Raw genomic sequence first — 27,486 nt, 5'->3', positions numbered from 1 at the left:
CTAGAGAGGCCCCGGAAATGCAGGGAAAGGTGCCGCAAGGCCTCGATGACGCGCTTCCGGCACGGGATGTTTTCGGTTGTTTGACCGAGAGAGTTGTAGGCGCAAAGCTGAGGAAAGGAGAGTGTGGAGAGGGGCCTGGTGTGGTGGGGCCCGGTGTTTGGGACCGGAGGGTGTTGACGGCTGATGAGTTCCTTGGGTTTGCTCTTTCTTCACCTGAAAAGAAGACTCCAGGAAGGGCAGCACATGCCGGAGAAAGATGAATTCCAGCTTGACCGCCCAGAGGCGCGGCAGTGACGCCGAGTTGGGACCCTGGGTGATGGCTGCGAGGTCCAAGGACGCGGCGCCGTCCCAACGCGACGGACTTTTGCCCGTGAAAGTGGAGGAAGACTCACCCGGAAGTTGGGAGCCCAACTATCCCGCGGCTTCGCCGGACCCCGAAACTTCTCGACTGCACTTTAGGCAGCTGCGTTACCAGGAGGTGGCTGGACCGGAAGAGGCGCTGAGCCGGCTCCGAGAACTCTGTCGTCGGTGGCTGAGACCCGAGCTGCTCTCCAAGGAGCAGATCCTGGAGCTGCTGGTGCTGGAGCAGTTCCTCACCATCCTGCCCGAGGAGCTTCAAGCCTGGGTGCGAGAGCACTGCCCAGAGAGCGGGGAGGAGGCGGTGGCCGTGGTGCGGGCTCTGCAGCGAGCGCTCGATGGAACCTCATCCCAGGTGAGAAGCGAAAGGCCTGTTCTGGAGGTGGGAGTGTGGAAAATAGGCGTTTAGGGGTGCTCTGCGTTTCGGAACTTACTTCCTTATTACATTTCGTGTGAACATTGGGGTGTGTATGGACTTCCTTTCTGTAGGCCACAGTGACAGATCCATCCAGGAAATGACTTGTTATAGACCTCAGCATAAAGCGAACACGGATTACTGGTTTTCTTTCTTTTTCTTTTCTTTTTTTTTTTTTTCTTGTTGTTCTTGCTGTTGTTTGAGATGGAGTTTCACTCTTGTTGCCCAGGCTGGAGTGCAATGGCGCGATCTCGGCTCGCTGCAACCTCTGACTCCCGGGTTCAAGCGATTCTCCTGCCTCAGTCTCCCGAGTAGCTGGGATTACAGGCGCCCGCCACCACGCCCGGCTAATTTTTGTATTTTTAGTAGAGACGGGGTTTCACTGTGTTGGCCAGGCTGGTCTCGAACTCCTGACCTCAGGTGATCCGCCCGCCTCGGCCTCCCAAAATGCTGGGATTACAGGCGTGAGCCACCGCGCCCGGCCTTGTTTACTTTTAATCTGTATCATATTTCCATTCCCATACATCACAGTGATATAAGTTAAAGAAATATTTTGCTCCTACCTACCTCCAAAATTAGTGTAAATAGTCCACAGAAAGGCTTTTCAGGATTACAAGAGAATGTCAGCCTCTATCTCTGATCTCTCCAAACTCCCTTGTCGGTACAAGACTCAAGAAGAGTGTTAGTGCTGTACAGGGACAGCAGGTACTGAATGGGGCTCTTGTGTTGTTCCAGGGGATGGTGACTTTCGAGGACACGGCTGTGTCTCTAACCTGGGAGGAGTGGGAGCGCCTGGACCCAGCACGGAGGGACTTCTGCAGAGAGAGTGCGCAGAAGGATTCCGGGAGCACAGTTCCGCCGAGTGAGTGCTGTTGCTCTGCTGGTTTATTGCGGTGTGTGGTTTGTGAAGGGCTGGTTCACTACCATCCCTGAGCCACTATGCCATTCCCAGACTTGGGCTGAGAGCCTTCAGGTGCCTTCTGTAACGCAAGCAGGAGCCTCTGTACTGCTAGGTGCTAGATTCAGCTTTTTACTTTGGTTCATTTTTAATGTTTTATACATACAGAAAACTATATAAAAAAAAGATAATGACCATCCCCTGTGTCTACCACCCAAGTTTATCAGATCTTAATACTTGGCCATATTGCCAAGGAAATAGTATGTTACAGCTGTAGGTGAGGCCCCCACATAGCCTCCCTGAAACCCTTCCCCTCTATCCTTCTCCAGAGGTAGCCAGTAAGCTGACTGTTGTGTTCATGACTTCCATGCATGTCTTATATTGTCTCTACATAGACACGTAGCTCCACGCTGTATATCATTACTGTATGGCTTTTTTTACTCAACATTACATTTTTGAGATTTACTCATGTTGATGCATGGAGCTCTACCTATTTCACGGTCCAGATACTCCAGAATTCTCTCCATTTCTGTTGATGGACATTTAGGTGTCTTAAGTTTTTAACCATTACAGCATTGCACCGAACATTCTTGTATATTCTTGCATATCTTTGTATATTTGTTTCTATGTTGGAGTTTTTGAAGAGAATATGCCTAGAGACAGGCAGTAGTCCCCCCTTCCTGGTTTTGCTTTCTGCGGTTTCACTTACCCACAGTACAATCAGATATTTTAAGACAGGGAGAGACCACATTCACATGACTTTTATTAAGTATAGCATTTGTTTTTCGTTTTTTATCTTTGGCTTTGGGGGTTTTTTTGAGATGGAGTTTTACTCTTGTTGCCCAGGGGGAGTGCAGTGGTGTGGTCTCAGCTCACTGCAACTTCTGCCTCCCAAGCCAAGCAATTCTCCTGCCTCTGTCTCCCGAGGAGCTGGAATTACAGTTATGCCCCACCATGCTCAGCTAATTTTGTGTTTTTAGTAGAGATGGGGTTTCACCATGTTGGCCAGACTGGTCTTGAACTCCTTACCTCAGGTGATCCTCCTGCCTCAGCCTCCCAAAGTGCTGGGATTACAGGTGTGAGACACCAAACCTAGCTAAGTATATTGTTATAATTAATAGTTACTGTTAATCTCTTAATGTCCCTAATTTATTAATTAAACTTGATTAAAGGGATGTACATATAAGGAAAAACATTATAGGCCAGGCACGGTGGCTCACGCCTGTAATCCCAGCACTTTGGGAGGCCGAGGCGGGCAGATCATGAGGTCAGGAGATTGAGACTATCCTGGCTAACACGGTGAAACCCTGTCTCTACTAAAAAATACAGAAAAAAGAATTAGCCAGGCGTGGTGGCAGGCGCCTGTAGTCCCAGCTACTCGGGAGGCTGAGGCGGGAGAATGGCGTGAACCTGAACCTGGGAGGCGGAGGTTGCAGTGAGCCGAGATCGTGCCACTGCACTCCAGCACTCCAGCCTGGGTGACAGAGCAAGACTCCGTCTCAAAAAAAAAAGAAAAAACATTTTATATATATATATACATATATATATATATATATACACACACACACACACACACACACACACACACACACGTATGTATGTATATACATATATATACACATATATATATAGGCTTTGGTACTATACACAATTTCAGGCATCACTGGGGGACTTGGAACGTGTCCCCACAGAGAAGAGGGAACAACTGTATGTTCATCTTGCTCTCCAAAGAGCCCATAACTAATGTATATGCCACCAGCAATACTAATAATTTTTCTTTCTCCATATTCTTGTCAACATTTGCTGTTGGCTGGGTACGGTGGCTCACACCTGTAATCCTAGCACTTTGGGAGGCCCAGATGGGAGGATTGTTTGAGGTCAGGAGCTCAAGACCAGCCTGGGCAACATAGCGAGACCCCATCTCTTTAAAAAAAAAAATTAATAAAAAAAATAGTAATACATTTTGGCCGGGCGTGATAGCTCAGGCCTGTAAATCTCAGCACTTTGGGAGGCCGAGGTGGGCAGATCATGAGGTCAGGAGTTCAAGACCAGCTTGGCCAACATAGTGAAACACCGTCTCTACTAGAAATACCAAAAATTAGCCGGACCTCTGATGCCTGATGTGCAGGGGCCCTGGCACCCTGCTCACCCACCCATCCCTTCTGCTGCCCTTTGCCTGCTCTGGCCACACTGCCTTGCTGCTCCAAAATATGCCAGGCCCCGCTGCCTCCTGGTCTTTGTGCTATGTGACCGCTCTGCCTGGAATATTCTACTCTACTCTGTAGGAAGCAAAGTTTCAGGGCTTTGCTCAAATTGCTCCCTTGTGCCGGGTGTGGTGGCTCATACCTGTAATCCCAGCACTTTGGGAGACCGAGGTAGCTCACACCTATAACCCTAGCACTTTGGGAGGCCGAGGCAGGTGAATCACTTGAGGTCAGGAGTTCGAGACCAGCCTGGCCAACATGGTAAAACCCCGTCTACTAAAACACCTACTAAAATACCTACTATAATACCTACTAAAATACCTACTATAATACCTACTAAAATACCTACTATAATACCTACTAAAATACCTACTAAAAATACAAAAATTAGCCAGGCCAGTTAATGGGCACCTGTAATTACAGCTACTCAGAAGGCTGAGGCAGGAGAATCACTTGAACCTGGGAGGTGGAGGTTGCAGTGAGCCGAGATCACGCCATTGCACTCCAACCTGGGTGACAGAGTGAGACTCTGTCTCAAAAAGATAAAATAAATAGGCTGGGTGCAGTGGCTCATGCCAGTAATCCCAACACTTTGGGAGGCCAAGGCAGGTGGATCACCTGAGGTCAGGAGTTTGAGACCAGCCTGACCAACATGGTGAAACCCCATCTCTACTAAAAATACAAAAATTAGCCGGGTGTGGTGGCACGTTGCCTGTAATCCCAGCTACTCTCAAGGCTGAGGCAGGGGAATTGCTTGAACCTGGGGGGCAGAGGTTGCAGTGAGCTGAGATCACTCCACTGCACTCCAGCCTTGGCAACAAGAGCGAAACTCCATCTCAAAAAAATAAAATAGCTGGGTGTGGTGGCTCACGCCTGTAATCGCAACACTTTGCAAGGCCGAGGGGGGTGGATAACAAGGTCAGAGGAGTTCGAGACCATCCTGGCCAAGATGGTGAAACCTCGTCCCCACTAAAAATACAAAAAAATTAGCCGGGTGTGGTGGTGGGTGCCTGTAATCCCAGCTACTTGGGAGGCTGAGGCAGGAGAATCACTTGAACCTGGGAGGCAGAGGTTGCAGTGAGCTGAGATCATGCCACTGCACTCCAGCCTAGGCAACAGAGCAAGACTCCATCTCAAAAATAAAATAAGATACGATAAAATAAAATATAGGCTGGGTGCTGTGGCTCACGCCTGTAATCCCAGAAGTCTGGGAGGCCGAGGCAGGCGGATCACGAGGTCAGGAGTTCAAGACCAGCCTGGCCAATATGGTGAAACACTGTCTCTACTAAAACTAGCAAAATTAGCACCTGTAATCCCTGCTACTTGGGAGGCTGAGGCAGGAGAATCACTTGAACCCAGGTGGCAGAGGTTGCAGTGAGCCGAGATCATGCCACTGCACTCCAGCCTGGGCAACAGAGTGAGACTCCATCTCAAAATAAATAAATAGCAACAGAGTAATACTCTGTCTCAAAATAAATAAATAGGGAGGCTGAGGCGAGCGGATCATGAGGTCAAGAGATAGAGACCATCCTGGCCAACATGGTGAAACCCCATCTCTAATAAAAATACAAAAATTAGCTGGGTGTGGTGGCGTGCACTTGTAATGCCAGCTACTTGGGAGGCTGAGGTAGGATAATCAGTTGAACTCGGGAGGCAGAGGTTGCAGTGAACTGAGATCGGACCACTGCACTCCAGCCTGGTGACAAAGCAAGACACCGTCTCAAAAAATAAATTAATTAATTAAAAAGTAAAAGGGGTTTGAGGGTTTAACATTCTGCCAGCACTTGCTTATTTCTGTGTTGCACAGGGATGCACTGGCAGGAATTTGTATTTTCACGTTTCAGGTTTGGAAAGCAGAGTGGAGAACAAAGAGTTGATTCCAATGCAACAAATTTTAGAAGAAGCGGAGCCACAGGGGCAACTACAAGAAGCGTTCCAGGGGAAGCGCCCCCTGTTTTCTAAGTGTGGCAGTACCCATGAGGACAGGGTGGAAAAGCAGTCCGGAGACCCCTTGCCCCTGAAACTTGAAAATTCTCCTGAAGCAGAAGGACTCAACAGCATCTCAGATGTCAATAAGAATGGTTCCATAGAAGGGGAAGACTCTAAAAATAATGAATTGCAGAACAGTGCCAGGTGTTCCAACCTTGTTCTATGTCAGCACATCCCGAAAGCAGAGAGGCCCACTGACAGTGAGGAACACGGGAACAAGTGCAAGCAAAGTTTCCACATGGTGACGTGGCACGTGCTGAAACCTCACAAGTCTGACAGTGGAGACAGTTTCCATCATTCCAGCCTTTTTGAGACCCAGAGGCAGCTCCATGAAGAAAGACCTTATAAATGTGGTAACTGTGGGAAGAGTTTCAAACAACGCTCTGACCTCTTTAGACACCAGAGAATCCACACAGGTGAGAAACCCTATGGCTGCCAAGAATGTGGGAAAAGCTTCAGCCAGAGTGCTGCCCTGACCAAGCACCAGAGGACACACACAGGCGAGAAGCCGTACACCTGTCTGAAATGTGGGGAGCGCTTCAGGCAGAATTCACACCTAAATCGTCATCAAAGTACCCACAGTAGAGACAAACATTTTAAATGTGAGGAATGCGGGGAAACCTGTCATATTTCCAACCTTTTTAGACATCAGAGACTACATAAAGGGGAAAGACCCTATAAGTGTGAAGAATGCGAGAAGAGCTTCAAACAGCGCTCTGACCTCTTTAAACACCACAGAATCCACACTGGGGAGAAGCCCTATGGATGTTCCGTCTGTGGGAAACGCTTCAATCAGAGTGCAACCCTCATTAAACACCAGAGAATTCACACTGGGGAAAAGCCTTACAAATGTCTTGAATGTGGGGAAAGATTTAGACAAAGTACACACCTTATCCGACACCAAAGAATTCATCAAAATAAAGTGCTGTCGGCTGGGCGTGGTGGCTCACGCCTATAATCCCAGCACTTTGGGAGGCCAAGGCAGGCAGATCATTTGAGATCAGGAGTTTGAAACCAGCCTGGCCAACATGGTAAAATCCTGTCTCTACTAAAAATACAAAAATGAGCCGGGCATGGTGGTGCATGCCTGTAAGCCCAGCTATTCGGGAGGCTGAGGTAGGAGAATCACTTGAACCCAGGAGGCGGAAGTTGCAGTGAGCTGAGATCATGCCACTGCACTCCAGCCTGGGCAACAGAGCGAGACTCCATCTCAAAAAAGAAATAAAGTGCTGTCATTTTGATATGTTTCTATGTGACTTGGCCTGTTTCTTTTCTTGTCCAGAACCACATTCCTTGCCATTTGGAGTATATCAGTCAATTATGGATCTTCCTTGAGTATCTCCTACAAGATAGGTTCAATCTGTCCTGAGCCTCATTACAGACTGATAGTTTCAGTGAGTGAGGAATGAGGAAGTAGGGGGCCTTCTGAAATGTGAGCTGATGCCAGGTAAGAGACTTCTGATGATAAGAGCCAGGCTGACATGTAACGGGGTTCTGTCCTTGTTATCTGCGCTCTACCTTTATGTATTATTTTTGAGACTGGGTCTCGTCGTAGCCCTCCAGCGGGAGCCCAGTGGTGTGATCGTGGTTCACTGTGGCCTCAACCTCCTGGGCTCAAGTGATCCTCTTGCCTTAACCTCCTGAGTAGCTGGGACCACAGGCACACACCACCACACCCAGCTTTTTTTTTTTTTTAAGAGATAGGGTCTTGCTATGTTGCCCAGGCTGGTCTCAACCTCCTGGGCTCAAGGAATCCTCCTGCCTCAGCTTCCCAAAGTGCTGGAATTACAGACACAAGCCACCACACCCAGCCTACCTTTATTTACTTTTTTTTTTTTTTTTTTTTTGAGATGGAGTCTCGCTCTGTCACCCAGGCTGGAGTGTAGTGGCATGATCTTGGCTCACTGCAACCTCCACCTCCTGGATTCAAGCAATTCTCCTGCCTCAGCCTTCCAAGTACTTGGGACTACAGGTGCACCATGCCATGCCCAGCTAATTTTTTGTATTTTAGTAGAGATGGGGTTTCACTGTGTTGCCTAGGCTGGTGGTGAACTCCTAAGCTCAGGCAGTCCGCCCACCTCAGCCTCCCAAAGTGCTGGGATTACACACGAGCCACCATGCCCGGCCTTTTTATTCACTTTTGAACCAAATCTTGCTCACTACAATTATTAATACTTGCCTAAGAATGTATTTTAGTCATTTAAAATTTGCCTTTGGCCTTAGATTGTAGAGAGGGTTTCAACTACTTCATAATCCCCAAAAGATCTGGTAAAGCTCAGTACTCAAAAGAAGCACTCTATTTTTCACTTTCCAGAAAACCTAATTTTGCATAGTCCCTCTTTCTTTCCCATTCTAGGAGCCTAGGAGTTCAGTTTTATGACTTGCTGATTTCTTTTTTTTTTTTTTTTTTTCTTGAGACGGAGTCTCGCTCTGTCGCCCAGGCTGGAGTGCAGTGGCGCAATCTCGGCTCACTACAAACTCCACCTCCCGGGTTCATGCCATTCTTCTGCCTCAGCCTCCTGAGTAGCTGGGACTACATGCACCCCCACCATGCCTTGCTAATTTTTTGTATTTTTAGTAGAGATGGGGTTTCACTGTGTTAGCCAGGATGGTCTGGATCTCCTGACCTCATGATCCGCCCGCCTTGGCCTCCCAAAGTGCTGGGATTACAGGCTGGAGCCACTGTGCCTGGCTTTTTTTTTTTTTTTTTTTTTTGAGACAGATTCTCTGTCGCCCAGGCTGGAGTGCAGTGGCATGATATCGGCTCACTGCAACCTCCGCCTCCCAGGTTCAAGCAATTCCCCTGCTTCAGCCTCCCGAGTAGCTGAGACCACAGGCACTCGCCACCACACCCGGCTGATTTTTTGTAGTGTAGTAGAGACAGGGTTTCACCATGTTGGCCAAGATGGTGTCTATCTCCTGACCTCGTGGTCCGCCCGCCTCAGCTTCCAAGTTTCTAATCATGCCTTGGTCTTTCCAGTTAGCCCCCAAGCTGAACCCATCGGAAATCCAAGAGTTGCCTTATTAGAACAAAGACATGCATCACTAAGGAAATTCCAATGGGTTTAACAGCTCTGTGTCAGGAACAAGTGTCAAAGACCAAATATGATAAGAAAAGATGCTCTTAGCACCCTTATCCCTCAGGAATTCTCCAAGGTTTGGGGAGCTCTCTGCTAGTCATTGAGGATGAAGACCAGATACATATTTATCATGATATCACAAGGCTTATTATACAAAATTTGAGTATTTCTTGCAGAAGTGAATAAAATAGAACATAAGAATCATCTCCAGTAAAGCAAGTGTGGTTGTCCTTTCCAGGTCCTGTGAAAATGAAGGGAAGAGAGTGTCTGCTCAGCTCCACTAGGGGCTCCCACCATCACGGTCAGGAGACCACTCTCTCCCTGATGTAGGTGAGCTGGGGCACGTGTAATAGAGGCCTCTGCTTGAAGGAATATCATCAGGAAACAGCAGTCAGGGCACTAGTGGCCCCTGACAAACACAGGGCAGAGCCCCGGGTCTAGTCTGGGTGTAGGTGGCTTCTGGGTGATAGTGGCTTCTCTTCCTCTAGGAACTGTTTGGAAACTGAAGAGTGTCTGGCCTGGACAGCACCTACACCTCCCTCTAAGTTTGAAGCCATCTCAGGATGGCTGCGCTTTGGATGTGACTGTTCATTTTCTATGGCTGAGTCTCTCTAGATTTGGCAGTTCCCTGTGGCTCAGTGAATTAGAAACAGTTCTCTCCTGTTTGTACCTTCTTTAAACATGAGGATTAATCTGAGTGACAAGTGCCTGAATGTCTGAACTGGTCATTGGAGAGAATCGTAAATACAAACTATCTTTTTTTTTAAAAAAAAAAAAAAAAAGGTCTCACTTTGTCGCCCAGTCTGGAGTGCAGTGGTGTGATCTTGGCTCACTTGCAGCCTCAACTTCCTGGGCTTAAGCGATCCTTCCACCTCAGCCTCCCAAGCAGCTGGGACTACAGGCATACAACCACCACACCCAGCTAATTTTTGTACTTTAAAAGTATGAGAGAGGCTGGGCACAGTGGTTCACGCCTGTAAGCCCAGCACTGGGAGGCCAAGGCTGGCAGATCACGAGGTCAGGCATTCAAGACCAGCCTGGCCAACATGGCGAACGAAACCCCATCTCTACTGAAAATACAAAAATTAGCTGGGCATGCTGACAGGCACCTGTAGTCCCAGCTACTCAGGAGGCTGATGCAGGAGAATCGCTTGAACCCAGGAGGCGGAGGTTGCAGTGAGCTGAGATCTCACCGCTGCACTCCAGCCTGGAAAACAGAGCGAGACTCGCCATCTCAAAAAAAAAAAAAAAAAAAAAAAAGATGAGGTTTTGCCATGTTGGCCAGGCTGGTCTCAAACTCCTGGGTTGAAGTGATCCACCTGCCTCAGCATCCCAAAGTGTTGGGGATTACAGGCATGACGCAGTGCACCTGGCCTGAGAGCAATATTTGTTTGTTTTTTTTGACACGGGGTCTCACTCTGTCGCCCAGGCTGGAGTGCAGTGGTGCAATCTTGGCTCCCTGCAACCTCCACCTCCCGGGTTCAAGCAATTCTCCTGTCTCAGCCTCCTGAGTAGCTGGAATTATAGGTGCCCACCACCACGCCCGGCAAATTAGAGCAATTTTTAATACAGACATAGGATGATGTTTAGGATATCCAAATAATTTAAATGGATCTCTTATATTGTTGAGCTCTAGGGAGAATACACTCAGCTCAACCTATTTAAACTGAATGTCAGAATGTGCTTAGAATAATTGTGGAAACAGAAGGGATATGGCTTCTCAGAGAACATAATTGACACTTTTTGAATACAAGTAGTTTATTTGTTGGGGAGAGGTTGCAACACTATTAGGGAAGGTGGAAGAGACAGAAGGGAAGTCACCCAATGAGGTATCTACCTTGGGTGAGTGCCTGTGTGCAATTCATGGGGAACCTCTGGAAACTAAAACACATGCTTCAGAGTTTTCCACACATGGGGAGATGGAGAATTTGGTGTTTATCAAATTCCCATCGATGATTGGTTGACAGCTGCTCCCAGAATGTGTTATTACCCCACAGGCCACAAGGTGCAGACACAGTCAGATGAAGCCCACAGAAGGTGTAAGGCCAGAGGGACTTCGGCAGGGCCCACGGCACCTATTACAAATATTGACTTACAACTCTTTTTTTTTTTTTTTCTTTTTTGAGATGGAGTCTTACTCTGTCACCGAGGCTGGAGTGCAGTGGCATGATCTCAGCTCACTGCAACCTCTACCTCCCAGGTTCAAGCGATTCTCCTGCCTCAGCCTCCTGGGTAGCTGGGACTACAGGCGCGCACCACCATGCTCGGCTAATTTTTGTATTTTTTAGTAGAGATGGGGTTTCACCATATTGGCCAGGCTGGTCTCAAACTCCTGACCTCGTGATCCACTCGCCTCAGCCTCCCAAAGTGCTGGGATTACAGGCGTGAGCCACTGCGCCGGGCTGACTTACAACTCTTATCAGAATCTAACATACTCATTTTAGATTATGGGCAACTTTTTTTTTTTTTTTTTTTTGAGATGGAGTCTTGGTCTGTCGCCCAGGCTGGAGTGCAGTGGCGCAATCTCAGCTCACTGCAACCTCTGCCTCCCGGTTGAGGTAGGTGATTCTCCTACCTCAGCCTCCCAAGCAGCTGGGATTATAGGCGCCCACCACTGTGCCTGGCTAAATTTTGTATTTTTAGTAGAGACGGGGTTTCACCATCTTGGCTAGGCTTGTCCTGAACTCCTGACCTTGTGACCCACCCGCCTTGGCCTCCCAAAGTGCTGGGATTACAGGTGTGAGCCACCATGCCCGGCCTGATTATGGGCAACTTTTAGTTCTTCATACCTCACTAGTTACTAGTGAGTAGCCCTTAGTTTTGTTTTGTTTTTTAAGTCTATACGTTAGCATGTAATAGTTGTATGTAATACAGGAAAGGCATTCTTCAATCTTTTTTTTTTTTTGAGATGGAGTCTCACTCTGTTGCTGAGGCTGGAGTGCAGTGGTGTGTTCTTGGCTCACTGCAACCTCCACCTCCCAGGTCCAAGCGATTCTCCTGCCTCAGCCTCCCAAACAGCTAATTTTTGTATTTTCAGTAGAGACGGGGTTTCACCATGTTGGCCAGGCTGGTCTTGAACTGACCTCAAGTGATTCTCCAGCCTCAGCCTCCCAAAGTGCTGGGATTACAGACATGCGACACCATACTGGCTGTCTTCAAACCTTCAATCATTCACAACCCATGCAATGGTCCCCAGCCTGGCAACCACACGGCACAGCTTCTATGGCTCCCTTCTGCCTTAACTAGGCTGGAGGGAATGAGGGCATAGAGGGTGCAAGAGAGTGGACACAACAGCCTAATAACCTTTTCTCTGTTTTTTTTTTTTTTTTTTTTTTGAGACGGAGTCTCGCTCTGTCGCCCAGGCTGGAGTGCAGTGGCACGATCTCAGCTCACTGCAAGCTCCGCCTCCTGGGTTCACGCCATTCTCCTGCCTCAGCCTCCCGCATAGCTGGGACTACAGGCGCCTGCCACCACACCCGGCTAATTTTTTGATTTTTTAGTGGAAACGGGGTTTCACTGTGTTAGCCAGGATGGTCTTGATCTCCTGACCTCGTGATCCGCCCACCTCGGCCTCCCAAAGTGCTGGGATTACAGGCGTGAGCCACCGCGCCCAGCCCTTTCTTTTTTTTTTTTGAGACAGCCTCACTCTGTCACCCAGCCTTCTTAGTAGCTGGGACTGGAGGTGTGAGCCACCACACCTGGCTTTGTTATTTTTTGTAGAGATGGGATCTCACTGTGTTGCCCAAGCTAACATTTCCTTTTAAGCGTTTCTTCACTACAGATTGGCTACACAAAGATGGCTCCCATAGAAAAACCCTTTGTTACATTTATTGCTTTTCATGGAAACAATTACGTGATACACACTTGAAGTAGAGGTTTATAAGTTCTAGTTCTCCAATGACTGCTTTCCAATTAACATCATGTGGATATCTGTCCTTTGTGAGTGCCCTGGTGCTTAATAAAGCTTGTGTGCCACTTGAAAGATTTTCCACATATGACACATTGGTAGGGTTGGCTTCCAGTGTGAATGACCTGATGTCGAAAAAGATTCCTCTTAAAACTAAACGTTTTCCCACATTCTCCACATTGAAAGAATTCCTCCTTTGTATGGATTCTTTGATGCTGAATGAGATCCACATTCCTACCAAAGGACTGTCCACATTCACTGCATTTATGGGTGTTCGGTTTACTGTGAATCTGTTGATGACATAGAAGGGTTGAATGCCGGCCAAAGGCTTTTCCACACTCAAGGCATTTATGGCGTTTTTCTCCACTATGGATCACCTGATGTCGAATAAGGGTTGAATTCTGACTAAACGTTTTTTCACATTTGCTACATTTATAAGGTTTTTCTTTGGTGTGAATCCTCTTATGTTCAACAAGATACGCGAGCTGCCGAAAACACTTTCCACAGTCATGACATCTGTATGGCTTGTTTTGCAGGTGACACTGTTTATGGACCGTAAGAGCTGACCGCTGTCTGAAGGCTTGCCCACAGACCTTACACTCAAAAGGATTCTCTAAAAAGTGAATTCTTTGATGTTGATCAAACCATGCCTTACGCCTAATGACTTTTCCACATTCACTGCATTCATAAGACTTTGCTCTTGTGAGAATTCGCTCATGCCCCAAAAGCAAAGATCTTTGATTGAAGGGTTTGCCATCCTCATCATATCTGCCCTGCTTCCACCTTGTTTGCGCATTCTGATCTTGAATAAGGTTAAGGTTTTGAAGGAAGCCCCTGCTGTATTCATCACCACTAGTAGGGAAAGTAAGCCTGCAACTGTCCACAAATTCTTTACACTTATGTAACTTTTCTGAAAGTTTCTCAGCTGATTCCTGCATTACCACTGATATCTTATATGACTCTAAATCTTCAGAAAATTTCTGTTTTGGAGTTAGCTTTTTCATCTTGTGTCTGGCTTCAGAACCTAGCCAAATAACAAGAAAAGATGTAAATGACCTATCCACTGCAGAAGAAAAAAAGGAAGAGAAGGCAACTGTTAGGGGTCTAGGACAATCAAATGAAGCTAAGAAGTGATCTCGTTTACATCATCAGACTCAAGAGGCCAAAACTCTGAAATTTTTTTTTGAGACGGAGTCTCTCTCTGTTGCCCAGGCTAGAGTGCAGTGGCATGATAGCTTACTGCACCCTCCGCCTCCTGGGTTCAAGTGATTCCCCTGCCTCAGCCTCCCGAGTAGCTGGGATTACAGATGCCAGCCATCATGCTCAGCTGATTTTTGTATTTTTAGTAGAGACGGGGTTTCACCATGTTGGTCAGGCTGGTCTCGAACCCCTGACCTCAGGTGATCCACCCACCTCGGCCTCCCAAAGTGCTGGGATTACAGGCGTGAGCCACCGCACCCAGCCCAAAATTCTGAATTTCATTGGACTCTTCACTTTCATAACAAAAACAGCTCTCGGCACCAACAAACTCACTATAAATGTATAGGAGTGTGTATGCCAGAGAATGTGAGAGCAGAGCCCATCATCGTTATTAGAAAAACAACTTACTCTAGGTACTCAGTGGTGCCAAATAAATATCAAAGAGGTAGCATGTTATGCTTCAAGATACATGCTTTTTGTTTGAGACAAGCCCAGGCTGGAGTGCAGTGGCATGATCTCAACTCATTGCAACCTCCACTTCCTGGGTTCAAGAGATTCTCGTGCCTTAGCCTCCTGAGTAGCTGGGATTACAGGCATACACCACCACGCCCGGCTAGTTTTTGTATTTTTAGTAGAGATGATATTTCGCCATGTTGGCCAGGCTGGTCTCAAACTCCTGGCCTCAAGCGATCTGCCCATCTCGGCCTCCAAAAGTGTTGGGATTACAGGTGTGAGCCACGGCACCCGGCCTAGATACACGTTTTTAATAACTCTAGGTGAAACATCTGCTTAAAAATGGACAAAGTATAGGATAGCATAGAAAAGGAACCAGAGGGAAGTAGGGACAAAAGCCAACTGAATAGAGCAATGGGTCTCAACTAGGGGTGAACAGGGTTTGGACAATGTCTGGAGACATTTCTGGTTGTCACACCTGGGGAGGTTCAACTGGCATCTAGTGGATGCAGGCCAGGGCTGCTACTCAACATCCTAAAATGCACAGGACATGCCCCATCCTGTCCCCAAAGAATTCGTCAGCCCAAAACGTCAGTAGTGCCATGGAGGAGAAACCTTGGATGTGAAAAACAGGAGCAGCTGCATCGGGACACAGTAAGTAGAAAAATGCAGATATGTCAGGAAATACGGGAGTAATATGAAAACAAAACAAAGCAAGGGAACAAGAGGCAGCACCGAGAGAGGACAAGTAATGAGGGTGGAATCAAGGGGCATCCAGGGTGCCCTAAGAGCTGTCACTTAGAAAACACTAGAGCATCTGCGTCAGAGCAGCACTTTTTCCTGCAGGAGAGAGAGGATAAGCATTCTAGACTTGAAGTCAAACCCCAGTGTCCACCTCCCAACTGTGAGAGTTCTTTTTTCAGACAGTCTTGCTCTGTCACCCAGGCTGGAGTACAGTCATGTAATCTCAGCTCACTGCAACCTCTGCCTCCCAGGCTCAAGCAGTCCTCACACCTCAGCCTCCTGAGTAGCTGGGACTACAGGCATGCGCCACCACACCCGGCTTAAATTTGTATTTTTTGTAGAGATGGGGTTTCACCATATCACCCAGGGTGATCCTGAACGCCTGGGCTCAAGTGATCCTCCTGCCTCTGCCTCCCAAAGTGCTGGGATTACCGGCGTGAGCCCCCATACCAGGCCTGTGTGATATATATATATATTTTTTAATTGAGACAGTCTTGCTCTGTCACCCAGGCTGGAGTGCAGTGACGCGATCTCGGCTCACTGCAGCCTCTGCCTCCCAGGTTCCGGTGATTCTCCTGCCTCAGCCTCCCAGGTAGCTGGGATTACAGGCACACGCCACTACGCGGGGCTAATTTTTATATTTTCAGTAGAGACGGGGTTTCACCATGTTGGCCAGGCTGGTCTAGTCCTGGCCTCAGGTGATCCGCCCAACTTGGCCTCCCAAAGTAGGATTACAGGAATGCGCCACCGCGTCCAGCCAAGATTTCTTAATCTTAGTTTCTTCATCTGGGAAATGGGGACGCCGATCTTCCTCCCACTTCACAGGGCAGTAGGGATGAAGAAGTGGGATAATATATGCCCAGCACCTGGCTCAGCGTCTGGCACACAGAAGGGGCTTCACTAACATGCCTTCCCTTCCTCTTCCTGATTCCACTCGCCTGGGTCTCTTCCTCACCCACCTGGGCAAGCACTACCGGAAGCCTTCCTATTCCCAGTTCTCGGTAGATCCAGGATCCACTGCTCGTCCCAGTTCTCCAGCTGACAGATCATCTCAGGTTTGGGAAACTGAAATCCTACTCATGGGGAAGTAAATGGGATGTGGCCGTTAGTGAGTTACAGAGACATGGCCCGGGGCTCAGTGGCAAGCAGAGATAAGGACAATAATCAAAAGCGGTGGTGAGAATAGAGATTGGCACAATCTTTGTAAATATCTGGCAGTCTTTATTGAAAGCCTGAACAATGTTCATACCTTTGGCTGTGGTCATTTCACTCTTAGAAATATAGCCTAAAGTACAATTGCAACCAAGATGAATGTGCCAGAGACGTTCAGCACAGTGGTATTGCAGCATCAAACTGGAAATAAACTGAATATCAAAAGGGAACAATTAAATCAAGCGTAGCACATTAATGCGATGAAGGCATAAGTATTAGGCAGATATTAAAAATCCTTGTATTCAATTGTTTATTTTTTTTATTTTTGAGACAGAGTCTTGCTCTGTCACCCAGGCTGGAGTGACAGTCTTGGCGCACTGCAACCTCTGCCTCCCAGGATCAAGTAATTCTTCTGCCTCAGCCTCCCAAGTAGCTGGAACTACAGGCACAGCGCCCCCACGCTTTGCTAAGTTTTGTATTTTTATTAGAGATGGGGTTTCACCATGTTGGCCAGGCTGGTCTCGAACTCCTGACCTCAGGTGATCCACCCGCCTTGGCCTCCCAAAGTGCTGGGATTATAGGCTTGAGCCACTGTACTTAGCCAACTATTTATTTATTTATAAATTTATTTATTTATTTATTTTGAGATGGAGTCTCTGCTCTGTCGCCCCCACCCGGCTAATTTTTGTATTTTTATTTTTATTTATTTATTTATTTTTGAGACGGAGTTTCACTCCTGTCATCCAGGCTGGAGTACACTGGCACCATCTCTGCTCACTGCAACCTCCGCCTCCCGGGTTCAAGTGATTCTCTTGCCTCGGCCTCCCAAGTAGCTGGAATTACAGGCATGTGGCCACCACGCCCAGCTAATTTTTACATTTTTAATAGAGACGAGGTTTCACCATGTTGGCCAACTGGTCTCGAACTCCTGACCTCAGGTGATCCACCTGTCTCGGCCTCCCAAAGTGCTGGGATTACAGGCGTGAGCCACCGTGCCCAGCCCAACTATTTATTAAAATAGGAAAACACTGCCTATGTATTTTAAAGCAGAATACAAAACTCATATATAGCATGATCCAAATTTTTTTTATTTTTGAGACAGAGTTTTGCTCTTGTTGCCCAGGCTGGAGGGCAATGGCACAATCTTGGCTCACCACAACCTCCGCCTCCCGGGTTCAAGTGTTCTCTCCTGCCTCAGCCTCCGGAATAGCTGAGATTACAGGCATGTGCCACCACGCCTGACTAATTTTGAATTTTTAGTAGAGACAGGGTTTCTCCATGTTGCTCAGGCTGGTCTCGAACTCCCGACCTCAGGTGATCCGCCCACCTTGACCTCCCTCCCAAAGTGCTGGGATTACAGGCATGAGCCACCATGCCTGACCCCAAATTTTGTTTTAAAAAACTATGTAGTGTGTATGTTATGTGTGTGTGTGTATAAGTAATTAATACAGTTTGAACATCCCTAATCCAAAATGCTCCCAAATCCGAAACTTTCTGAGCACTAACCTGATAAAAGTGGAGAGTTCCACACCTGACCTCACGTGACCAGTGGCAGTCAAAACGCAGGTGCACAACACACAGTTAATTCAGCCTTCCCCAGGGAAAAACAGAGATTGGCACAATCTTTGTAAATATCTGGCAGTCTTTATTGAAAGCCTGAACAATGTTCATACCTTTGGCTGTGGTCATTTCGCTCTTAGAAATATAGCCTAAAGTACAATTGCAACCAAGATGAATGTGCCAGAGACGTTCAGCACAGTGGTATTGCAGCATCAAACTGGAAATAAACTGAATATCAAAAGGGAACAATTAAATCAAGCGTAGCTTGAAGAAGCTACATGTCTAAGGTGTATATGAAACATAAGTGAATTTCTTGTCAGATCCTCAAATTATCTTATTATATATTTATGAGTATTCCAAAATCCAAAAAAGAAAAATCCGAAATCCAAAACACTTTTGGTCCCCAGCATTTTGGATAAGGGATTCTTTCCCTGTAATAGACACATAGACGGACTGGGAAAAAGTAAACCAAAATGTTAATAACAAGAGTTACTTCTGGAAAGTAGGCCTGCAGGTGATTTTTATTATCTACTCTATTTACTGATGTATTTTCCAAAATTTCTGTAATGAAAATTATTTTTAGAACTAGTAAAATCCATAAAAGAAGGCAGTGATATAGTAAAGAAGCACTCTCAGCTGGGTGCAGTGGCTCACACCTGTAATCCCAGCACTTTGGGAGGCTGAGGTGGGCGGGTCACCCGAGATCGGGAGTTTGAGACCAGCCTGACCAACATGGCGAAACCCCGTCTCTACTAAAAATACAAAATTAGCTAGGTGTGGTGGCACATGCCTGTAATCCCAGCTACTCAGGAGTCTGAGGCAGGAGAATCACTTGAACCGGGGAGGCAGAGGTTGTGGTGAGCTGAGATCCTGCCATTGTACTCCTGCCTGGGCAACAAGAGCGAAACTCTGTCTCAAAAAAAAAAAGAAGCACTCTAAAATGTTACTATTGGATATGCAAAACAGTACAAAGTTTGTTGAAGAATCATTCAGTAATCAATAAAGATTAAAGTGCCATCTCATTTAACTTCAAAATTCTGATTTTGGGAAAGTATCTTGGGAAATGATCAAAAATTCATGCAAAGATTTATACTCAAACATCTATTCAAACATTATAAATACACAAGCAAACCAACGAACAAACAAAGGCAAGCTCAATGTCCCCACATGGGAAAACAATGAAATATTTTTATGGACCACACAATGGAATTATATTATGCTCGTTTACTGATTATGTGGGGAAATGCTGATACAATAATGTTACATTTAAAACAGATTACAGGATTGCACATAGAATATGCTCAGCTACTTTTGTAAAGGCATAGGAAAAAAAGACTGGCAGGAAACCTTCCAAAATATTAACAGTGTTACCCATGAACACTTTCCTCTTCTCCTCCTTTTCTATGCCTTCCATGTACTTATGTATGCTCCTGTAATGCTTTTAAAGGGAAAATTAAAATTATAAAAATCCAGAGGTGGGTGGACAGTCCCACAGAGGTGGTCAAGACTCTGTGCTAAGAGTGTCAGTGCAAGGGTTAAACATGTGACCCCGGAAAGAAAACTATTTAGCAAGGCAACTCCCACAGTGGGAGACTACAGTGGACTAGGACAGGGTAGGCTCCTGAAAAGAATGGAAGCAGTGAAGGTTCAGAAATGAAGTTGGTTGAAAATCATTTCCTGAGCACCCACTAATGTTACACACCAAGAAGTTACCCATTTCCAGAGAAAAGAAAGAAAAAGACTTTCAAGAGCATAAGAAGTGAGCCTTTGGAATGTAAATCTACCATAATTCTCAACTCCTGGAGGTCTTACAGATGAGGAACACGAGGTGAGAGTGAAGAATGCATGAAGTGTCTCGGTCTGAGCCCTAACACAACACGACTATTCACTGTCCCCAGTCCCTTATGTGAAACCCTTAGGACCAGATGTGTTTCAGGAGTCAGAATTTTTCCCATTTCAGAAAGGTGACCTGGTGTAAATATTTTACATAACGTATCATCCCCAGTAGGGTTTGGAGTGGTGCCCTCAAATACACTGTTATTTTTGTTGTTGTTTTGTTTTGTTTTGAGACGGAGTCTCGCTCTGTCACCCAGGCTGGAATGCAGCGGCATGATCTCGGCTCAATGCAACCTCTGCCTCCCGGGTTCAAGCGATTCTCCTGCCTCAGCCTCCCAAGTAACTGGGACTACAAGCGTGCACCACCACACCAGGCTAATTTTCGCATCTTAAGTAGAGCTGGGTTTCACCATATTGGCCAGGCTGGTCTCAAACTACTGACCTCATGTGATCCACCCGCCTCGGAATCCCAAAGTGCTGGGATTACAGGTGTGAGCCACCGCACCTGGCCTACACTGTTATTTCTGAAGTTGGGTATACAGATATGCACACCAAGTTGGAAAAATAAAGACAATAAATGGTTTCCTATAGGATGAAGTCAGGTTTCACTGTGGTGATGTCTGGTCAGGGCTTGTAGCCACACGAGTTATAAAAAAACCTTTCGGTTTTCACCGCTTTTTCTGATTCTGGAATTGCAGATAAGGGACTAAGGGCTTGCACAGACACTCAGAACACAGACAAAGCCCAATCTTCAAGCCGTGTCCTACCCAGCAAGACCATGTTCCTGTAGTTCTCCAACATCACATCTCGGTAGAGGTCCTTCTGACCCCAGTTGAGGTGGCCCCACTCCTCTCTGGTGAAGTACATCGCCACATCCTCAAACGAGAGCAGCTCCTGGAAAAGTAGCTGATAAAGGTAACTGCAATTCTTAAAATAACTTACGCTCAATGATTATTCCACAGCTGAGGAAACCAAGGTTTGGGAGGTAGAGTGTGGGCCAAGGGCACCCAATTCATAAGGAATATATTCAGGGCTCCTTTCAGGCCTGATGGCCCTCAGGCCAGACATGTGCTGGCTTCCATACCACGGGGTCGACACAATTAATCTCTAAAGGGCCAGATGGTAAATATTTTAGGCTTTTCAGGCCCTCTGGTCTCTGTTCCAGTTCCTCAAATCTGCTGTTGATTAGAGGAACAGCAAATCAACAATCTGAGGAACAGCCTTTGTGTTGGAGCACAAAAGCAGCCGTGGACAAGTAAGCGAATGGGCACAGCTGTGTTTCAGGGAAACTTTACCAAGCGGTCCAGGGCAGTTTGCTGACCGCTGCTCTATAAAAATAACCTATTGCTTCTGCCCCAGGTTCCTTAGGAAAGAGATGAGGTCACTGGGGGGTTGGTTAATGTGCAGACTATTTACAAAGGGATGAATAGTCTCAATGAACATGAACAAGAAATGTGGAAGCTCGCAGGTCCTGGCCACCCTGGGGAACCAGGGCCTGCTAGGTCTGAAGGGGTAAGGTGGGGAGGGCTGCTGGAGCCCAGAAGGCTGCTGGAAGGGGAGCAAGACCAGCTGCGGCTGAACAGGATGCAGCCACACCCATCCCACAGCCCAGTGGGGAGGGAGCCGTGGGAAGAGAAACCCAACCTCAGTTTTCCCCAGGCCTCCGGCGCCCTGTCCCCTGTCCTCCAACCCTCTTCATCCCATTGCCACAAGCCAAGCAGATGCCAGAGACCAGGGGAGCCCGTTGCTGGAGAATATAAAAGGTACAGACCAAGGCGCAGACGCCTGGGGAGCATATCCAGAGTGGGCAACAGTGGACACAGCACAGTGAGCACAGGGGACATTACATCTGCAAGTGACTGCCCCCTCCAGTGGGCTGAGCACTGAAGCTGCCACACTCTCCCTCCCACACCACTGCAGCCCTCTGGGCAAAGGGGCCCAGCGGCTGTCTACACACTCCTTGCTCTCACAAGACACTGCATGGGTTCAGAGGGGATGTGTGCAGGGAAAGGGCAAACGTTCGCTGTCCTATAAGTGGTCAGTAACAGGAAATGCCCACCCCCATCCTGAGACCATCCTGAGAAGCTTCACGTAGCTCCCCTCTGCAGGCAGGCACCAGAACCTCCCAAATTATACGGACTTTCTTTCCTGCCTATCAAACCTGAGTTCCACTGCTACGGTTGCAGGCCCTTTCTCACCATTATCCAGAGTGTCACTCTTTTACCAGAGCTGCGCTGCCATGTCCTCAATCTGACCTACTCAGCCATCTGCATTCCCGCACCTGCACAAGGTTAACAAGCATGGGAATAAAATGGCTTCATCTCCCAGAGTCATTGTGGCATGGTAACTCCTCTCCTAACATCCACAATAGGTTCTTGGAAACTGATTTTTAGCAAAAGTATGTACAGCAGCAGGTCCTTGAATAACTTTGTTTCACTGTAACACTGATGGAAAAAAAACGGTTTTGATATACATAGTTTCCCTTAAAGTTGCAGTTTCCAAGAACCCATCAACAGCTAGGACTTGTACATTGACAGATGGGCACCAAATGTTGCTTAAAAGTTCCATTTTTTGTTTGTTTGGGTTTTTGTTTTCGTTTTTGTTTTTTGAGACAGTTTCGCTCTTGTTGCCCAGGCTAGAGTGCAATGGCGCGATCTCGGCTCACTGCAACCTCCACCTCCTCGGTTCAAGCAATTCTCCTGCCTCAGCTTCCCAAGTAGATGGGATTATAGGCATGCGCCACTATACCCAGCTAATTTTTGTATTTTTAGTAGAGATGGAGTTTCACTATATGTTGGCCAGGCTGGTCTCAAACTCCTGACCTCAGGCAATCCACCCCCCTCAGCCTCCCAAAGTGCTGGGATTCCAGGCATGAGCCACTGGTCCTCTCCTTTCTTTCAAACTCAGTCTCTTCTAGGCTGGGCGCGGTGGCTCACACCTGGATTCCCAGCACTTTGGGAGGCTGAGGCTGGTGGATGGCTCAAGCCAAGAGTTCAAGAACAACCTGGGCAACATGGTGTAACCCTGTCTCTACAAAAAATACAAAAGTAACCAGGCGTGGTGGCATGTACCTGTGGTCCCAACTACTTGGGAGGCTGAGGTGGGAGGATCACCTGAGCCTGGGAAGGTCAAGGCTGCCATGAGCCATGATCATGCCACTGCATTCCAGCCTGGGCAACAGTGTGAGACTCCGTCTAAAAAAAGACAAAACACAGGCTGGGCACAGTGGCTCACGCCTGTAATGCCAGTACTCTGGGAGGCTGAGGTGGGTGGATCACGAGGTCAAGAGATGGAGACCATTCTGGCCAACATGGTGAAACCCCGTCTCTACTAAAAGTACAAAAATTAGCTGGGCGTGGTGGCACTCGCCTGTAGTCCCAGCTACTTGGGAGGCTGAGGCAGGATAATCACTTGAACCCGGGAGGCAGAGGATGCAGTGAGCTGAGATCGCGCCACTACACTCCAGCCTGGCAACAGAGTGAGACTCCGTCAAAAAAAAAAAAAGACAAAACAACTCAGTCTCTTCTAATCACCCTCCATAATGCTACAAATTCAATAACTGACCTTCCATTATACCCGTTCATAGGAACAGTTCAGAATTTATTATGAGAAGTTCCTTACACAACTATCTCTCTAATCAGGTTGTAATCTCCTACAGGTAAGAGTTGATCTCCCAGCACAGAAAACAGCACCTGGAGTGTACAGCAGTAGGTGCACAATAATGCTCACAGACAGAAACAATGGGCAACTACTACGGTAATAAGAGCAACAACTTAACACAGTGCTAAACGAGTAACCAGATACTGCACAAAGGACTTCACAGGGTGTTTTTCATTGAATCTTCACAACTCGCTGTGATAGGCACTCTCACTGACCCATTTTACAGAAAAGAAAACTGGAGCCAGAGTGTTTATGTAACTGAAGGAAGCCCATGTGACTCCAGAGGCTAAGCTCTCTACATTGCACTGTCTAAGAAGGAAAACTCCCCACATTGATCAAGAGGGCTCAGTCTGAGGAAGGAGCTGCTGGTGGCAGTGACTATGCTGATGAAGCAGAGGGGGAGGCACAGCTCACCTTCCCCCTGGCTGGTGGGAACATGGCTTCCACGGCCTGGTCTTTTGCAAGGGGTGGGATCCTGGACGTCTGGCTGAGCTGGAGAAGAAAAAAAGTCAGTAAGGCCAGCCCTAATTTGAAGCTCTCTTGGTTGGCAGATCTGGGACCCGGAATTCCAACGGGGCACACAGACAAAGCTTAATACAAAGTCCCTGTGTTTGGTGTTGGAACATGTGATGAAATGCATGAGCCGCTACAATAAGTCTAGTAATTTCAATTTCCCAAGCTCCATCCAAGAGAACCTGCAGCCCTGCCCTCCCCTTCTCCCTAGAACATGTCATACTCTGCACCTCATATACAAAGGGACAGCAGATAGACCACATATAAACATAGCACTCTGGCCAGGCACGGTGGCTCACGCCTATAATCCCAGCACTTTGGGAGGCTGAGGCGGGTGGATCACGAGGTCAGAAGATGGAGACCATCCTGGCCAACATGGTGAAAGCCCTTCTCTACTAAAATACAAAAAATTACCTGGGCGAGGTGGCAGGCACCTGTACTCCCAGCTACTTGGGAGGCTGAGGCAGGAGAATCGCTTGAACCTGGGAGGCGGAGGTTGCAGTGAACTGAGATTGTACCACTGCACTCCAGCCTGGTGACAGAGCAAGACTCCATCTCAAAAAAAAAAAAAAAAAGAAAGAAAAAATAGCACTCTGATCCACACCCTGCAGCAACCAGCTCTGGAAGCCAAACCATAGCCTCTGAGGCATGGGCCCCAAATCAGGACTTGATCAATAACAGCTTTATCCAAAATTTTGCTCCCCACTCCCTTTAATTTAGGACCAACAGGAGAAAGCCAAATGCTCCCCTCCCCTATCACACAGGATGTCCGAGTCTAGTTATCCTAGGGATTCCAGTTCACCAGCTTTTCTTTCTCTAAATCTACTTACGTATTTCCAACCCTGCTCCTACAGCCAGCTCCACCTGCTGACAAGCCCCCTCTGAAAGTGTTCTAAAGGGGTCACTCAACCCTCACCTCTAGCCTGGTGATTTGCTAGCAGGATTCAGCAACAGTAACAATTACAGACTTGATTTTTTTTTTTTTTTAAACAGAGTTTCACTCTTGTTGTGCAGGCTGGAGTACAATGGTGTGATCTCTGCTCACTGCAACCTCCGCCTCCTGGGTTCAAGCGATTCTCCTGCCTCAGCCTCCGGAAGTAGCTGGGATTACAGGCACCCGCCGCCATGCCCAGCTACTTTTTTGTATTTTTAGTTGAGATGGGGTTTCACCATGTTGGTCAGGCTGGTCTTGAACTCCTGATCTCAGGTGATCCACCCACCTCAGCCTCCCAAAGTGCTGGGATTACAGGCGTGAGCCACTGCGCCCAGCCTACAGACTTGCTTTCTAACTCAGGATGAATTTTAATGAAATTCACTTTCATTTTAATGGATGCCCCTCAAACACAGTTCACCTTCCCTGAAAACAGTTTAGAAGACCCTTTGCCTTTCTTTTTTTTTTTGAGGAGTCTCCCTCTATCACCCAGGCTGGAGTGCAGTGGTGTAATCATGGCTCACTGTAGCTTCCAACTCCTGGGCTTAAGCAATGCTCCTGCCTCAGTCTCCTAAGCAGATGGGACTGCAAGAGTGCACCACCACGCCCAGTTGTTTGTAGTTCTTTTGTAGGTGGGGCCTTGCTATGTTGCCCAGGGTGGACCCTCTGCCTTTTAAGCAAAGAGGTACACTCTAAAAACTATCCTGATCAATGGCTCCAAGGCTGGAGCAAAGGCCTCATCCCTTTCATTCTCTACACCAAACTTGTCCAAACCTCAGCCTGTGGACCGCATATGGCCCAGGACGACTTTGAATCCAACCCAACACAAATTCGTAAACTTTCTTTTTTTTTTTTTTGAGGTGGAGTCTCGCTCTGTCGCCCAGGCTGGAGTGCAGTGGCGCGATCTCGGCTCACTGCAAGCTCCGCCTCCCGGGTTCACGCCATTCTCCTGCCTCAGCTTCCCGAGTAGCTGGGACTACAGGCGCCCGCCACCACGCCCCGCTAATTTTTTGTATTTTTAGTAGAGACGGGGTTTCACCGTGTTAGCCAGGATGGTCTTGATCTCCTGACCTCGTGATCCTCCCGCCTTGGCCTCCCAAAGTGCTGGGATTACAGGCGTGAGCCACCGCGCCCGGCTCGTAAACTTTCTTAAAACCTTATGAAATTGTTTTGCGATTTTTTTTTAGCTCATGAGCTATTTTTAGTGTTTGTGTATTTTATGTGTAGTCCAAGACAATTCTTCTTCCAATGTGGCCCAGGGAAGCCAAGAGATTGGACACCCCTGCACTATATTTACTGAATGTGTTTGTGAAGGCTGTGCATCTGAATGTCAGACTTGCTAATGAAAAATTAAATGGAGTCCATGTTTTGGGTACGGCCCTAGGCCAACCACCCACAGCCATGTAAGGCATTTAAAATACATTGATTTCTCCCTTGAGTTCAGGAGTTGGAGACTGCAATGAGCTATGATGGCACCACTACACTCCACCCTGGGTGACAGAGCAAGACCCTGTCTCTCTTAAAAACAACAGGCCGGGCGTGGTGGCTCACACCTGTAAATCCCAGCACTTTGGGAGGCCGAGGCGGGCGGATCATGAGGTCAGGAGTTCAAGACCAGCCTGGCCAACATAGTGAAACCCAGTCTCCACTAAAAATACAAAAATTAGCCGGGCATGGTGGCGCGTGCCTGTAGTCCCCGCTACTCGAGAGGCTGAGGCAGGAGAATCGCTTGAACCCGGGAGTTGGAGGTTGCAGTGAGTCGAGATTGGCCCATTGTACTCCAAACTGGGCAACAGAGTAACACTTCGTCTCAAACACAACAGCAACAACAATTCCTTATTTCCCTGAAAAGTGTGCGCTGACCAGGAAAGAAGCTTTTTTCTCGTCCGCATGATAAACTGAACCAATCAGCTACAGATGCGAGGCTGATCCAGCTCGACTTACCCTAGAAGGAATGCAAGTTGATAATGGCCAATTACAATCAAGATCACTGCACTTCCTCATTTAGCTTTCCAAGCTGCCATTGGAACAATTTGCCAGCTGTTCCTCTGCATGCACAATAAACTCTTAAAACTTTAACTGGAGGGGACTGTTAACTTTTGACAAAATCCAAAATGCCGCTTCACAATCACGTGAACACCTTCCACTAACAACCACGGCTCATCTCCCACTCTAACAAAACCAAGTCCAGGCGTTCACCATCCATTCATTCTTCGGACTTTGCTCCTCTCGCTGCCGAAGACTTGACACCGCCAAAAATACTCAAAAGCTGGTGCCACAGGCCCCGAGAGCCGCCGCACAAACCCGGAGCGTCCCCTGCGAGCCGGGGGTGTGCGCAGTGGCCTACCCCCCGCACCCACGCCCCCCACAACACTCGTTTCCTTCTCCCCAAACCTGCTGACGGCTCCGAATCTCCGCCAAGCCGCCTCCACCAGGGGCTGGGCTCTCCTCTCGGGGTTCCCGGGCCTGACCCGAGGTCTGTCTGGTCCGCGCCCCTCGGCGAATCACCCCTTACCGGAGGAACAGACACAACCACTCTGGCAGCCTCAGAGCCTCTCGCTGGCTCCACCTGCGCGCGCCGAGCGAA

At 47.7% G+C, this 27,486-nt stretch overlaps 2 protein-coding genes across 22 annotated transcripts, besides 3 other annotated features; one reads left to right on the top strand and one right to left on the bottom strand.

Annotated features, from left to right (window-relative positions):
• Positions 1–68: 68 nt before the first annotated feature.
• Positions 69–13,831, top strand: ZNF394 (zinc finger protein 394). Of its 3 annotated transcripts, none has more exons than NM_001345968.2 (3): positions 69–712; positions 1,508–1,634; positions 13,387–13,831. In NM_001345968.2, exons 1-3 carry the CDS (start codon positions 257–259, stop codon positions 13,407–13,409), a joined length of 606 nt encoding a protein of 201 aa, NP_001332897.1. In that variant the 5' UTR covers positions 69–256; the 3' UTR covers positions 13,410–13,831. The 3 variants fall into 3 exon arrangements, with proteins under 3 accessions (NP_001332897.1, NP_115540.2, NP_001332896.1); NM_032164.4 differs by lacking the exon at positions 13,387–13,831 and adding an exon at positions 5,719–7,110; NM_001345967.2 differs by lacking the exons at positions 1,508–1,634; positions 13,387–13,831 and adding an exon at positions 5,719–7,110.
• Positions 459–738: an enhancer, noted in NCBI's record as "active region_26320". NCBI's record gives its function as "activates an Ori minimal core promoter by ATAC-STARR-seq in GM12878 lymphoblastoid cells {active_cell/tissue: GM12878}" and the evidence as "EXISTENCE:reporter gene assay evidence [ECO:0000049][PMID:35858748]".
• Positions 961–1,629: an enhancer, noted in NCBI's record as "H3K27ac-H3K4me1 hESC enhancer chr7:99096344-99097012 (GRCh37/hg19 assembly coordinates)". NCBI's record gives its function as "activates a minimal SCP1, AML or CMV promoter by ChIP-STARR-seq in naive and primed H9 embryonic stem cells {active_cell/tissue: H9 hESC(naive and primed)}" and the evidence as "EXISTENCE:reporter gene assay evidence [ECO:0000049][PMID:30033119]".
• Positions 12,745–27,460, bottom strand: ZNF789 (zinc finger protein 789). 19 transcript variants are annotated; one of them, NM_001351004.2, is made up of 7 exons: positions 27,294–27,460; positions 23,870–23,947; positions 21,994–22,076; positions 20,563–20,689; positions 16,207–16,320; positions 14,982–15,142; positions 12,745–13,874 (listed from the first exon to the last, which is right to left on the bottom strand). In NM_001351004.2, exon 7 carries the CDS (start codon positions 13,852–13,854, stop codon positions 12,862–12,864), a length of 993 nt encoding a protein of 330 aa, NP_001337933.1. In that variant the 5' UTR covers positions 13,855–13,874; positions 14,982–15,142; positions 16,207–16,320; positions 20,563–20,689; positions 21,994–22,076; positions 23,870–23,947; positions 27,294–27,460; the 3' UTR covers positions 12,745–12,861. The 19 variants fall into 19 exon arrangements, 16 of the variants coding, with proteins under 16 accessions (NP_001337933.1, XP_016867511.1, NP_001337931.1 ...); XM_017012022.2 differs by lacking the exon at positions 14,982–15,142 and adding exons at positions 16,497–16,611; positions 18,188–18,615 and having other exon boundaries at positions 20,312–23,947; NM_001351002.2 differs by lacking the exon at positions 21,994–22,076.
• Positions 27,171–27,460: an enhancer, noted in NCBI's record as "active region_26319". NCBI's record gives its function as "activates an Ori minimal core promoter by ATAC-STARR-seq in GM12878 lymphoblastoid cells {active_cell/tissue: GM12878}" and the evidence as "EXISTENCE:reporter gene assay evidence [ECO:0000049][PMID:35858748]".

The sequence above is a fragment of the Homo sapiens genome, chromosome 7, assembly GCF_000001405.40.
Source record: "Homo sapiens chromosome 7, GRCh38.p14 Primary Assembly".
Taxonomy (NCBI): Eukaryota; Metazoa; Chordata; class Mammalia; order Primates; family Hominidae; genus Homo; species Homo sapiens.
This window is presented reverse-complemented; position numbering and strand designations above follow the sequence as displayed.

Coding starts and splice junctions, on each gene's coding strand:
- ZNF394 (NM_032164.4), top strand. CDS start 257: ATGAATTCCAGCTTGACCGCCCAGAGGCGCGGCAGTGACGCCGAGTTG. Junction 713..1,507: donor TCGATGGAACCTCATCCCAG/GTGAGAAGCGAA, acceptor GTGTTGTTCCAG/GGGATGGTGACTTTCGAGGA. Junction 1,635..5,718: donor CGGGAGCACAGTTCCGCCGA/GTGAGTGCTGTT, acceptor TTCACGTTTCAG/GTTTGGAAAGCAGAGTGGAG.
- ZNF789 (NM_213603.3), bottom strand. CDS start 23,893: ATGTTCCCACCAGCCAGGGGGAAG. Junction 20,690..23,869: donor TCCCACCAGCCAGGGGGAAG/GTGAGCTGTGCC, acceptor CTACTTTTCCAG/GAGCTGCTCTCGTTTGAGGA. Junction 13,875..16,206: donor TTCCGGTAGTGCTTGCCCAG/GTGGGTGAGGAA, acceptor TTATTTGGCTAG/GTTCTGAAGCCAGACACAAG.